At 44.7% G+C, this 12,049-nt stretch overlaps 2 annotated features.

Moving 5' to 3' along the window:
• Nucleotides 1,433–1,609: a silencer, noted in NCBI's record as "fragment chr1:113538968-113539144 (GRCh37/hg19 assembly coordinates)". NCBI's record gives its function as "represses an EF-1alpha promoter that drives an FKBP-Casp9 reporter gene in an ReSE screen in K562 erythroleukemia cells {active_cell/tissue: K562}" and the evidence as "EXISTENCE:reporter gene assay evidence [ECO:0000049][PMID:32094911]".
• Nucleotides 2,521–4,485: an enhancer, noted in NCBI's record as "VISTA enhancer hs1672". NCBI's record gives its function as "enhancer in: heart[7/7]" and the evidence as "EXISTENCE:transgenic organism evidence [ECO:0001131][PMID:17130149]".

The raw sequence follows: 12,049 nt of genomic DNA on the forward strand, positions 1-12,049 counted from the left end.
GATTACAGGCACCCGCCACCATGCCTGGCTAATTTTTGTATTTTTATTAGAGATGGGGTTTCACCATGTTGGTCAGGCTGGTCTTGAACTCCTGACCTCAAGTGACCCAGCCACTTCGTCTTCCCAAAGTACTGGGATTATAGGGGTGAGCCACTGCGTCTGGCCATTTATCTCTTGACCTGAAATTACTCAGTGGCACCATTGAGATTTCTGCCTTGAAAACGGTCCACCTCTTTTTTTTTTTTTTTTTTTTTGAGACAGAGTTTCGCTCTTGTTGCTTAGGCTAGAGTGCAATGATGCAATCTCAACTCACCGCAACCTCTGCCTCCTGGATTCAAAGGATTCTCCCGCCTCAGCCTCCTGAGTAGCTAGGACTATAGGCATGCGCCACCACGCCTAGTTAATTTTGTATTTTTAGTAGAGATGGGGTTTCTCCATATTGGTCAGGCTGGTCTCAAACTCCCGATCTCAGGTGATCCACCCTCCTTGGGCTCCCAAAGTGCTGGGATTACAGGTGTGAGCCACTGCGCCCAGCTCAGTCCACCTCTCTTTACTGCTAATTTTGTGTATTGGAACCTGTACTCTATCCATTTTGTTTTTAAATTTTCTAGACCCGGAAAGCATGGACTGGTACCAGGTCACAAAGATACTATTTGTGTTGTCACAACTTATTCTCTTCCTCTAAGATGTTGGGACAGAATATGTGGGATTTCTACTCATCTTCATCTTTCTACCTGGAATATGATCTTCACGAAACAGACTTTTCTTCTGAGATGAAGAAACTTTGTCAAAAGCAGTCTAATTCAGTCCGGTCAATATGGTGAAACCCTGTCTCTACTAAAAAATAATATATGAAAAAATTAGCTGGACGTGGTGGCATGCACCTGTAATCCCAGCTACAGGGAGGCTGAAGCAGGAGAATCACTTGAACCCGGGAGGCGGAGGTTGCAGAGTGCTGAGATCATGCCACTGCACTCCAGCCTGGGCAACAGAGTGAGACTGTCTCAAAAAAAAAAAAAAAGACAGTCCAATAGCCACTGTTTCCTAGTTCTTCACCTCATATTCCCTGCTCCCTTCTTAACCTTTCTGCTTTGGCGACTTTATCTTTTTCCCTATGAGAATGAATGTCACCCCACTCCAAGTCTTCAATCAATGTGTTCTAAAAGGAGAGAAAGCCTAAGAGTATGAGTCAACTTTATTCCTGGTACTGAACTTTGTTTGTTCTCATGTTAGTTGCCCGAAGGAACAGGGAAGAGAAGCAAAAGGGAAGTGATTAACAGGTCAACCTATTTGACTAATTTAAGAGATCAATTTAAAAGAAAATGATAACATAGCAAACTCCTCTTATATGCACATAAGGCATTACTAAGTATCTATTTTATGGTGCTTGACATGTTACAATTGCCTTTTTTTCTTCTTTTTTTTTTGAGACAGAGTCTTACTGTGTTGCCCAGACTGGAGTACAGTGGCGCGATCTCGGCTCACTGCAGCTACCGCCTCCTGGGTTCAAGCGATTCTTGTACCTCAGCCTCGCGAGTAGTTGGGACTACAGGCGACCGCCACAACACCTGGCTAATTTTTGTTGTATTTTTAGTAGAGATAGGATTTCGCCATGTTGCCCAGGCTGGTCTTGAACTCCTGACCTCAAGTGATCTGCCCACCTCGGCCTCCCAAAGCATTGGGATTACAGGTGTGAGCCACCGTGCCTGGCCACAGTTGCCTTTTTTAACCTTGATGTTGGCTTTTTTTTTTTTTTGAGATGGAGTCTTACTCTGTTGCCTGGGCTGGAGTGCAGTGGCGCTATCTCGGCTCACTGCAACCCTGCCTCCCTGGTTTAAGTGATTCTCCTACCTCAGCCCTCCAGAGTAGCTGGGATTACAGGGGCCCGTCATCAAACCTGGCTAATTTTTTTTTGCATTTTTAATAGAGACGGGGTTTCACCATGTTGCCCAGGCTGGTCTTGAACTCCTAGCCTCAAGTGATCTGCCCACCTCGGCCTTCCAAAGTGCTGGGATTACAGGTACGAGCCACCGCGCCGGGTCAGATGTTGGTTTCTTAAGCAAAAACAGAATCAGGATATCCCAGGAAGTCAACAGACATCTATCTGGTGGCCTCCTAGGTGAAAATGCTCTCCTTCAACTTAGCAGGTGTGAGCATTATAACTGTAACCTGTCCTTTTTTTTTTTTTTTTTTTTTTTTGAGATGGAGTCTTCGCTCTGTCGCCCAGGCTGGAGTGGAGTGGCGCGATCTCGACTCACTGCAAGCTCTGTCTCCTGGGTTCACGCCATTCTCCTGCCTCAGCCTCTTGAGTAACTGGGACTACAGGCACCCGCCACCAAGCCCGGCTCATTTTTTTGTATTTTTAGTAGAGACAGGGTTTCACCGTGTTAGCCAGGATGGTCTCAATCTCCTGACCTCATAATCCACCCGCCTCGGCCTCCCAAAGTGCTGGGATTACAGGCGTGAGCCACCGCGCCCGGCCGTGACCTGTCCTTCTATCTGGACTTTATATTAGAATGGTTTATGTCTGCACCTATGTCTCCATTAGAATGTAACCTCCTGGAGAAGAGAATTCATTTTCTTGTTTATCTTTATTTCCATCTACATCATCAAGTGTTTCATGTACATGCCAATGTTCAAAAACTTTTTTTAATCAATTAGTCAAACTTTGCTAAAGTGGTAGCTTGTCACTACTGCCGGGGTTTGTTGAAGTGTGCCACTCTGCATGCCAGCTAATAATAATAACAACAATAGCAGTTAACCTGTGAAAACCGTGAACAGCAACTCCCCTGAGAGCCAATGACAACTAGAGATATGGCAAGGAGTCATGTTGGAAGAATACTCATCCAGACCCTTGCTGAAATAGACCCAGAAAACGGCTCTGTGGAGTTACACCCAGAATGGAGCCTATGGAGAACACCCATATTCAACAACAGTGGCTGACTTTCAGCACGCAGCAGACAGCCTCTGAGAGACTTTGTTCTGTGTCTCACCCTTCTCTTATGCAGTGAGGAAAGGGAGACTCTCTAGGCCAGGCAGTAACCCTGAGAGCTTCCCTGACAGAGGATTGCTGAGAGACTGAGCAGATGCAAGAGGAATGCCTCTGTTCTTCCCTCACTGCCTATTTTGGCCATCTCCCTGCTTTTAGACTTTGCAGTGGAGGGGCCAGAGGCTTGAGCCAAGCCAAAGATACAGGAGAAGGATCTGGAATCCACCTCAGTGGGTAGGGCCAATTAAGACAAGAGGGGTGTACACAGAGGGAAATGTTCAGAAAACAAACCTCTTGCAAGAATCTGGAGGTATAACAGGGCCAAGTCTTCATACTGAGTTGGTGGGGGCTTCACTTTAATATGTGAATGTTGGAAAGAGGTGGGATATGAAAAGAAATCACAATACCTTGATCACCAGCTTCTACCAGAGGGATCTTGTCTCTTATTGCTGCTGTGAGTACTTTGGGGCCTCATGAGTGAGCTTGGCTGTCTAGAACCCTAGTTGGCCTTGAGTGAAGAAAATCAGTAACTGTAGTTAGACTCCCCTGATCTGCCCTACCCGTCTGTCCTAGCATCATCTAGAGAACACTCTAGGAAGAGGCTGTGGGTATAATTGAGTGTACCCAGTGTTCTGTGTCCATGTACCGGGAGCTCTGGGTTTACCTGAGATTCTTTCCATGTGGCTGAAAAGAGTTGGAAAGAGTTGGCCTTGATAGTCAGGGGCTTCAGTTCTCATTATGTTTTCCCAATGTGGCAGCTCCATAATGCTGGAAAAACTCTGTTCCCCCAGGACCCTCTTCCTCTTCCTTGTACCGTGAAGATGCAGAAGGAGAGGAGTTTGTCCATGCTATTCTTTCTCTGTGATCTGCTGTGCAAGGTGTCATGTAGCACATGCAGGCAGTGAGCATTCTTTCCTTGACTTTAAGCTTGGCAGTTACCCGGGGTTCAAAAGTTCTGAGGGCAACTGTCCTCCTTTAAGTCTTGGCTGCTCTACCTTGTATAACTTCTACCTTTATCTTTCACAAGTTTTTATCTTCAGGAAACTCCCAAGCATTCTGGAAGCTCTGCATGTGAGTAAGAACCACTGCTGTTGCTGTTGCTGTAGCTGCCTGAATCTATGGCAAAAAGCCAGGAAAAAAAAATTGCTTCACACCATGTGCACCGACTCCCCTGGAGCTGGCACCACCAGGGCGTCTGCAGAGCTATGTAAGTCGTTCTCCAAGCAGTCTGTCTCTTTGGTAGCTACAGAAACAGTGTTTGTTATCCTTTGTTTTCGGTAGACAGGCAAAAATCTGATGGCGACATTCTCTCTTTCTGAAGTTGGAGAGCCAACCAGCAAAACCTTCAGAAAGAAGGCAGCTTCTACCAGAGGGATCTTGTCTCTTATTGCTGCTTTCAATACTTTGGAGCCTCAGTGAGAGGACTCCCTATGAAACCATGGAATTAAAGTTGCCCTTTCAGATTTTAACCTTGAGATCAATGCACAGTGGGTCAAAGTATAGTTATTCAAAGTCTTAGTAAAGAGGTAAAATGGCTCCCTGGTAAGCAAGATTATGCTATAATCTTAAAATAGGCTCACACCTGTAATCCCAGGACTTTGGGAGGCTGAGGTGGGCAGATCACCTGAGGTTGGGAGTTCGAGACTAACCCAGGTAACACGGTGAAACCCCGTCTCTACTAAAAGTTCAAAATTAGCTGGGCATGGTGGTGCATGCCTGTTATCCCAGCTACTCGGGAGCCTGAGGCAGAAGAATCACTTGAACCCAGGAGGCAGAGGTTGCAGTGAGCTGAGATTGTGCCACTGTACTTCAGCCTGGGCGACACAGTGAGACTCTTGTCTATAAAAAAAAAAAAAGTATATTATAAAGGATACAGATGAAGAGATGAAGAGATGCATAGGACGAGGTACAGGAAAGGACACAGAACTTGCATGCCCTCCCCAGGCTTGCCACCCTCTGGGAACCTTCATGTGTTCAGCTATCTAGAAGTTCTCCAAACTCAGTTCTTTGGGGGTTTTATGGAAACTCCATTATGCAAGCACGATTGATTACACCTTTGGCCATTGGTGAGCAACTTAACTTTCAGCCCCTCTTCCCTCCCTGGAAGCTGGGGGCTGGGGCTAAAAGTCCCACCCCTCTAATTATGCCTTGGTCTTTCTGGTGACCAGCCCCTCACCATCAGTCATCTCACTAGCATACAAAACCCATCACTTTGGAAACTGTAAGGCTTTTTTAGAAGTTGTAGGTCAAGAAATGGGGTTGAAAACCAAATATATGTATTACAATATCACACTCCTTTTTTATAGCTCTCACTAGATGTTAGGTATTGTGCTAAGCACTGATAAACTTGCCCAAAGTCAAACACTTGGCAAGTGGTAGAACCAGGAGTTGAACCAGGCCAAAGCTTATGTATTTGACTAATGGGCTAAACTGTCTCTGATGGTTTAACAAATACAGCAAAACTTGCAGTTCCAAAGTGTTTTGTGCCTTTTAAAGGAATAGATTTGGAAGAATATATATTTATTCTTAAGTTTACTTGAAGCTCTTCTTTTGGAATTACCTGAGAAATCCTTGATATATTTTTTGAACATCCTTAACAAGGGCAAATTTTTGTTCTTTAAGATTTGATCTTCTTAATTACCAAAAGTTGCTTAGTGACAAACACAGTAAATAAGTTGGAAAATCACAATAGATATTTTAGTCCATTTTTTTGTTGCTGTAACTGAATATCTGAGACTTGAGAATTCATGAAGGACAGAGGTTTATTTTTTACAGTCTGGAGGCTGAGCAATCCAAGAGCATGGTGCCAACATTCAGTGAGGCATCTCGGCATCATAGCATGGCGGAGGGCATCAATCACATGGTGAGAGGGCAAGAGCATGCATGTCAGCTCAGGCCTCTCTTCCTCTTTTTTTTTTTTTTTTTTTTAATCTTTCCGAGACAGTGTCTCACTCTGTCGCCCAGGCTGGAGTGCAGTGGCGCGATCTCAGCTCATTGCAACCTCCACCTCCTGGGTTCAAGCAATTCTCCTGCCTCAGCTTCCCGAGTAGCTGGGATTACAGGCATGCACCACCACGCCCGGCTTCTTTTTTTTTTTTTTTTTTTTTTTGAGACAGAGTCTCGCTCTGTCGCCAGCCTGGAGTGCAGTGGCGCGATCTCAGCTCACTGCAACCTCTGCCTCCTGGGTTCAAGCGATTCTCCTGCCTCAGCCTCCCGAGTAGCTGGGATTACAGGCATGCACCACAGTGCCTGGCTAATTGTGTATTTTTAGTAGAGACGGGGTTTCTATATGTTGGTCAGGCTAGTCCCAAACTCTCGACCTCAGGTGATCCGCCCGCCTCGGCCTCCCAAAGTGCTGGGATTACAGGCTTGAGCCACTGTGCCCGGCCATTTTTTGGTATTTTTAGTAGAGATGGGGTTTCACCATATTGGCCAGGCTGGTCTGGAACTCCTGAACTTTTTTTTTTCTTTTTTTTTTTTTTTTTTTTTTTTTTTTGAGACAGAGCCTTGCTCTGTCGCCCAGGCTGGAGTGCAGTGGTGCGATCTCAGCTCACTGCAAACTCCGCCTCCCAGGTTCACACCATTTTCCTGCCTCAGCCTCCCGAGTAGCTGGGACCACAGGCACCCGCCACCACGCCTGGCTAATTTTTTTGTATTTTTTAGTAGAGACGGGGTTTCACAGTGTTAACCAGGATGGATCTCCTGACCTCGTGATCTGCCCGCCTTGGCCTCCCAAAGTGCTGGGATTACAGGTGTGAGCCACCGCGCCCGGCCTGGAACTCCTGACTTTATAATCCACCTGCCTTGCCTCCCAAAGTGCTGAGATTACAGGCGTTAGCCGCCACGCCTGGCCCTCTTCATCTTCTTTTAAAGCCACCCACCAGTCACATCATGGAGGCCCCACCCTGATGACCTAACCTATTATCTAATCCTGATTACATCCCAAAGGCCCCACTTCTAATCAACATATGCATTGGGGATTAAAGTTTGGAATACATAAAATTTGGGAGACACATTCAAATCATAGCAATAGGAAATACCATCTTTGGTGGAAAAACATGTGGCTTAGAAAGCAAGTCTATGGTTTTGATGGAAGTAGCAAAATACTTTATCATCACAAAGCGGTATCTATTGTTGCCAACTTTACTTTCCCATCACATTAGCCTTGTATTAGATGAAGTAAAGAAATATGAGTTTTTAAGTAAATTAGGTTAACCAGAAATGCATTAAATTGTTGTAAGTAAAAATTAATTAATGGATTAATATAAACATAAAGAAAAGTTTCCAAAGAAGGCTTTGTCCTTTTAATAATTCTGCAATTGACATGAATGAAGTCCTAGAAAGTGTGTTCATCAAACCTAGGAATCAAAGTTGGGAATAAGTGATTTTAAAAAAACAGAGAGAGTTTGAAAACTAAGTTTAACAAAGTTAAATGTAAGATCCTGCACTTCAAACTAAGAAAAAATAACTGCACTAGTACAAGATAAGGAATATAGCCTAACAGAAGTACATGAGAAAAATGCTTCTAAGTTTTAGTAGATGAGAACTTAATCGATGTTAATGACTTCCAAGAAAAATATTAAGATATTAGGCTGAATTAAAGGAAGCATAGACTCTAGAACAAAGGAGGGGACGCATCCACTCTACTCTGCTGGTTATTTCTAGAAACTACAATTTAAGAGGAATACGGTCAAATAAAAATGTATTCAGAAGAGAGTAATCACAATTATAAAAGAATATGAGAAATGTTAAATAGGGAGAAGACGTGTTGTTTGAAGATTAAAAAGAAAAAAAATACTGCTGGTAGGGATGGCATTGGCAGGGCACTGTGGCTTTATACTGTTAATCCTAGTACTTTGGGAGGCCAAGGTAGGAGGATCCCTTGAAACCAGCCTGAGCAACATAGCAAGACCTTGTGTCTACATTTTTTTTTAAGTTTCTTTAAATTGGGGGACATGATAGATTTCTTTTTTTTTTTTGAGATGGAGTCTCGCTCTGTCGCCCAGGCTGGAGTGCAGTGGCACGATCTCTGCTCACTGCAACCTCCGCCTCCTGGGTTCAAGCAATTCTCTGCCTCAGCCTCCTGAGTAGCTGGGAGTACAGGCACCCGCCACCACGCCCAGCTAATTTTTGTGTTTTTAGTAGAGACGGGGTTTCACCATCTTGGCCAGGCTGGTCTTGAACTCCTGACCTCGTAATCCACCCGCCTTGGCCTCCCAAAGTGTTGGGATTAATTGTCTGGGCTAAATAGCTGCAGTTTTGACTCTTGGACAGAGGGATTTCCTGGTGTGTGGGACTTATTCCAGTTTTAGCATTGGGAATGTCCCAGCAAACTGAAAAGAGTTGATTACCTCTGAGCTGAGGGAATTTTAAATAAAATGGGTCCATTAAGACATGATTGAGACAAACATAAAAGATATGCAGAGAGTCAAACCTTCTTTGTTTTTTGTTTGTTTGTTTGTTTGTTTTTGAGACAGAGTCTTGCTCTGTTGCCCAGGCGGCAGTGCAGTGGCATAATCTCCGCTCACTGCAGTCTCTGCCTCCCAGGTTCAAGTGATTCTCCTGCCTCAGCCCCTGGAGTAGCTGGGATTACAGGCATGCTATCATGCCCAACTAAGTTTTGTATTTTTAGTAGGGACGGGGTTTCACTGTGCTAGCCAGGATGGTCTGGATCTCCTGACCTCGTGATCCGCCCATCTCAGCCTCCCAAAGTGCTGGGATTACAGACGTGAGCCACCACACCCAACCTGTCAAACCTTCTTTGAACCAACATATGAATAAATGAAGGCATTAACTTTTCTCTCCCATGTGAGTGAAATTTGTAGATATTTGAAGCTTACTCTTCAAATGCCAACAAATGTATACATACTAGATTTAAAATGTCCTGAGACACGTTAAGTATAGTTCCCTATGCTGTTTATCAAAGAATATAAAAAATAGATTTGCCTTTTTTGTTTGTTTTTTGAGATGGAGTTTCGCTCTTGTTGCCCAGGCTGGAGTGCAATGGCGAGATCTCGGCTCAGCGCTACCTCCGCCTCCTGGGTTCAAGCGATTCTCCTGCCTCAGCCTCCTGAGTAGCTGGGATTACAGGCATGCGCCATCACGCCCGGCTAATTTTGTATTTTTAGTAGAGACGGGGGGGTTTCTCCATGTTGGTCATGCTGGTCTCAAACTTCTGACCTCTGACCTCAGGCGATCTGCCTGCTCAGCCTCCCAAAGTGCAGAGAGTATAGGCGAGAGCCACTGCACCCGGACTTTTTTTTGGGACAGAGTCCCCATTAAAGTCATTCTCTTAAATCCATAGTACTCCCCTAAGGTGTCCCCTTAGAGAGAGTAAATGCTTCAGAAAAACAGATAAAGTCAAGAATACTGGCATCATTCACGTGTCTATTTGAAAGCTGAGAATTTTTTAAAAATCTCGCCAGTCCAAAGTAAACCTATTTGAAAGTGACCACTGAGAGTTGGCCTCCTGTCTAAAGGTTTAGCTGTAAGTAAACAATCTAAAAAAAAAAAAAAGAATTAAAGACCTTGTTTTTGTTTTTGATCACACTGTTCAAAGAAAGTCTTTTGTGGGTGAAAGTTCACTAGGCTGAAATAATAGAAACATTGGAGAGTGGAATATGACCTTTACCCTTAAAGCAGGGGGCCTTAGTTTATTTTTGCTAGCTTCCTTCATGGGAGAACGTGGACACTGCTTGTCTCACTTCTCAGAATATTTTGCAAGTTGATATTTGATATGAGGAGAACCAACCGAAGAGAATATGTTAAGCAGTTGGGCATCTACTAGGTCTAGGAAAACTGGGAAGAAATTTCAGGAGGGCTGGTCTTCACTTGGCAAATAACCTCCCAAATCATCTATAATGATTACAAAGCAAAAGGAAGCTGGGTGCAGTGGCTCATGCCTGTAATCCCAGCACTTTGGGAGGCCGAGGCAGGCAGATCACGAGGTCAGGAGTTGGAGACCAGCCTGGCCAACATAGTGAAACCCCATCTCTACTAAAATACAAAAATTAGCCGGGTGTGGTGGCATGTGCTTGTAGTCCCAGCGACTTGGGAGGCTGAGGCGGGAGAATCACTTGAACCCGGGAGGTGGAGGTTACAGCGAGCTGAGACCACGCCATTGCACTCCAGCCTGGGTGAGAGTGAGACTCCCTCTCAAAAAAACAACAACAAAAAAGAAGGCTGGGTGCGGTGGCTCACACCTGTATTCCCAGTACTTTGGAAGGCAGAGGCGGGTGGATCACATATGGTCAGGAATTTGAGACCAGCCTGACCAACATGGCGAAACCCATCGCTACTGAAAATACAAAAAATTAGCCAGGCGTGGTGGCGCACACCTGTAATCCCAGCTACTCGGGAAGCTGAGGCAGGAGAATCACTTGAACCCAGGAGGCGGAGGTTGCAGTGAGTTGATATCGTGCCGTTGCACTCCAGCCTGGGCAACAAGAGTGAAGCTCTGTCTCAAAAAAATAAAATAAAAAATAAATAAAAATAAAAAGCAAAAGGAAAAAAGTAAGAGGAATTTTTCCACTCCCATAGCTCTGTATCTATCTTGCTACAGATTGCTATAAAAACCACCAGAAGCCAGGCGCAGTTGTTCATGCCTGTAATCCCAGCACTTTGGGAGGCCGAGGCAGGCAGATCACGAGGTCAGGAGATCGAGACTATCCTGGCTAACACAGTGAAACCCCATCTCTACTAAAAATACAAAAAAATTAGCTGGGTGTGGTGGCACGTGCCTGTAATCCCAGCTATTTGGGAGGCTGAGGCATGAGAATCGCTTGAACCCAGAGGTGGAGGTTGCAATGAGCTGAGCTGAGATCACGCCACTGCACTCCAGCCTGGGCGACAGCGAGACTCCGTCTCAAAAAAAGAAAAAAAAAAAAAAAGAGAAACCACCCAGAACTGAAAAAGAGAATATAGCTATTCTGACCCATTCCCTGATTTAAACCTTACTTTTGAAACTTTACTCAAGAGATAGCAACATAAACTTAATCCTTCCTTAATGAGCCTCTAAATTAAGGGAGGTCACAATTACAATTTCAAGAGCATAAAGGTAATTATTAATACATGCCCATGAGTTTGCCTATGTGTTTTGGTTGGGGCAATGATATGTCCTAAATTATCTGGAAAGGTCCAGATTTCATATTTTATCTCATAAGTCCTTTATTCCACAGATCATGAAGTTCAAAAATTTTTCAGTTGGAAACTATGATTATTTTAGTTATAGTCTCATAAGCTCTATTAAGAGTAATGATAAGCATGGCTGGGTGTGAAGGCTCACACCTGTAATCTCAGCACTTTGGGAGGCCGAGGAGGGTGGATCACCTGAGGTCAGGAGTTCGAGACCAGCCTGGCCAACATGGTGAAACCCAGTCTCTACTAAAAATACAAAAATCAGCTGGGTGTGGTGTCATGCGCCTGTAATCCCAGCTACTTGGGAGGCTGAGGCAGGAGAACGGCTTGAACCCCGGAGGCAGAGGTTGTAGTGAGCTGACATCCTGCCTCTGCACTCCAGCTTGGGTGACAGAGCAAGACTCCATCTCAAAAAAAAATAATAATAATGATAAACAAAGCTGTTGTAAGCTAAGAAAAGGCTGTTGAAAAGCAAATAGTCATCTTCCATCCTCTTATAAGATTTTGAAATTATTTATTATTATTATTATTATTATTTTTTGAGACGGAGTCTCGCTCTGTCGCCCAAGCTGGAGTGCATTGGCGATCTCAGCTCACTGCAAGCTCCGCCTCCCGGGTTCAGGCCATTCTCCTGCCTCAGCCTCCCGAGTAGCTGGGACTACAGGCGCCAGCCACCATATCCGGCTAATTTTTCGTATTTTTAGTAGAGACAGGGTTACACTGTGTTAGCCAGGATGGTCTTGTTCTCCTGACCTCATGATCCGCCCGTCTCGGCCTCCCAAAGTGCTGGGATTACAGGTGTGAGCCACCGCGCCCGGCCCCCTTATAATATTTTACCAACGTAGTAACAGTCATATCCCCTATGTGGTTTTAATGCACACTAAAAGAATAGGGGGCTGGGCATGCCTGTAATCTCAACACTTT

The sequence above is a fragment of the Homo sapiens genome, chromosome 1 (genome assembly GCF_000001405.40).
Source record: "Homo sapiens chromosome 1, GRCh38.p14 Primary Assembly".
Classification (NCBI taxonomy): Eukaryota; Metazoa; Chordata; class Mammalia; order Primates; family Hominidae; genus Homo; species Homo sapiens.